The sequence below is a fragment of the Homo sapiens genome, chromosome 8, assembly GCF_000001405.40.
Source record: "Homo sapiens chromosome 8, GRCh38.p14 Primary Assembly".
Classification (NCBI taxonomy): Eukaryota; Metazoa; Chordata; class Mammalia; order Primates; family Hominidae; genus Homo; species Homo sapiens.
The window spans coordinates 90,619,347-90,621,994 of NC_000008.11; positions in this window are offsets into that span (position 1 = coordinate 90,619,347).

Below are 2,648 nucleotides of genomic sequence, written 5' to 3' on the forward strand. Positions count from 1 at the left end.
AGTTGGTGCCAGGTAATAATAGCTAATGCTTATTGTGTACTTACTACCTACCAAGTGTTACTCTCAACACATAACTGTATTAAACTCTTTAATTTTCACAATCAACCCAATGAGCTAAGCTAGGCTATCATCATCCAAGTGAGGAAACTGAAACACAGCAGTAACTTCTTAACTTCTCAAGATCATGTATCCAAGAAGCAATGGCCCTGGTGTTTGAATACTAGTAGCTGGCCTTAAGAAAGGACATTCTTCAATTCTCTACTACATCACCTCAAGTCCTTGCGCAGAACAACTATCAACTGGGATGTTTTAAGAAGAGAATGACTTCTAACATGTCAATGAAAGAAATACAGGCCCATTTTGCCCTTAAAAATAATTGCTTTTTTCCCTTCCTTTTTGGCTTTATTATCTTCTTCCTCCCTCCTCTTCATTCTATCCCCATCAAACCCCTGAACCCAGCTTTCCACCCCCATCAGAGTAATCCATCTTAAAGTAGTTTCCCTTCCATATTTTTATCCATACTAATTTAATCCTATATGAGGAGATGCAGATATTCACATGCATACAAACCCACATATACATACATATACCAAGGAAGAAAGGGCATTTTCTTAAAAATGCAATATTTTTACAACTTTATGCATCTTCTTTCACAAAACAATACCTCCTGGTAACGTCTCTCACTGGAATACATCTAGTTCCTCCTTTCTGATGGCTACTCAATCTTCCTTGTGTGGATCTATCACAATTTATTCATAAGGGAGTGGCTGAAAACAAAGTTCACTTTGTTTCCAGTTGTTTGACTCTAAGAACAAAGCTGCAATTAATATAAGACATCACAAATGCCAGTGGTGGAACATGAAGCAGGCAGGCTGAGTTCCTTGGAGGAAGCTTCTCTGTCTCTGGTCTTCCTGAATTCTCTTCTCACGCAGCAGGGAACACTCCCTCCTTCTCAGCCATTTGTTGGGGGTCAGGAAGGGAGAAGTGACATATTTTGGTGGGGCCAATATCAAACTTCTCTTCAGAAGCTCAAATTTGAAAGCGAAAGAGATCTTCAAGATCTGCTCTCCAGTCTTTTCCCCTGACACTTGCTGCCCCGTGTATGAAAAAATCCTGTCCTGGTTTTCTCTGCCAAGACCCCCACCAGAGAGCAAGGCCTTATATGCACTCGGCAGCAAGGGAGGGAAGGAAAAGCCCAGGTTCTATGTTCCCAGAACCTATTCCAAGTCCATCTAATAATTTAATGCTCTGCTATGAAACCTACTTGAAATGCTCATTCCAAACAAAGCTGTTCTATTGTATATTTAAAGTAGAAATGTGATGATACAAAACCAGCTAATTTACTCAAAAATCAGAGTAATTAGCTGAAAAACAAAAACTAGTGGAAAATAACTCAGTTCCTGCCTTGCCTGCCAAGGTCAACTTAGGACAGGACTGTAAGAGTTAGAGTATGAAACAGGCCATGTTTCAAATCACTTTACTGAAAATGGCTTGATAATCAACAAAGACAGAACCAAAGAGTTCCCTCTTGGCTTCTCCTACTTTGTGGTGGTCATGAATTTTATGTCTCCTAGGATAAATGTACTTACATTGAAGCATACCACCCAAATTGCACTCTAAAATTTTTGTAATTTTGGAATTATTATTTTTTGTCCAATACATATTCTAATCACTCTTCCTTACTGAACTTCACTGCATATTTTAAGATTTTCAAGTCTTTCATCCAGCAGGCTACCTTATAGAACACTAAGTCACTTTTAAGACAGTGATATCAGTTAGTAATTTGGATAATCAACTTGGCAGAGTGCTTAAATGTAAATTTACTATATACACATATCTTGTTTAATATCACCATGCATGTAATGCTACCCCTACAAATGTTAAATATTTAACTTAAAATACAGTATACCACTAATATACACTTTCCCCACACTCAGGATGCTAATAGGCACTGTCAACCAAGAAGAGCAAGCATGGCAGACAGTATCGTACAACCTTGGATAACAAGCATACCACAATGTCAAAATGCTTATCTGATGAATGCTCCTCTACACCACCTTGGTGAAAGTAGTCTGCAACATGTGGCTATGTCTTGTGGCCCATTTTATAAACTAGCAAATAATTGTGGTCCAAAATGGGTAACAAAAGGTGTACAACAGTATTGGAGCTTCTACAAATAAACAAGGACAAATATTGTTCTTGGTGCTAAGATGAAAATGTTATGGCAAATGGAATGTGCCTTTTAGGAAACAGTCATGGAAATAGGGTAGAGATCAACAGAAAATTAGATTAGTTAAAGTCCTTTGACATTATGAAAAGCATCATAAATATTGCCACTGGCTGGGACAAATGACTAACAACTGTTTGGCAGTTGGCATTTCATGACTTAAAGATATAGAAAAAAACTGGAGTGAGTGCCAATTTAAGACGTCAGAATAACTTCTCCTTAAAGCTTCTTCAAGAACCATAAGCACCCCATGGAGGGTCAATTATCAACATTCTCATTTTTAGGAGTACATCCTCCCTATCCCCTCAATCAAGGAGTGATTCAGGGGATTCAGGATATCCCCTGAATCCACCCTACATGACATGTAGGGTCTTTTCTCTACATGCATTAAAGTATAAAGACAAAGAAAGAAAAGCGAGAA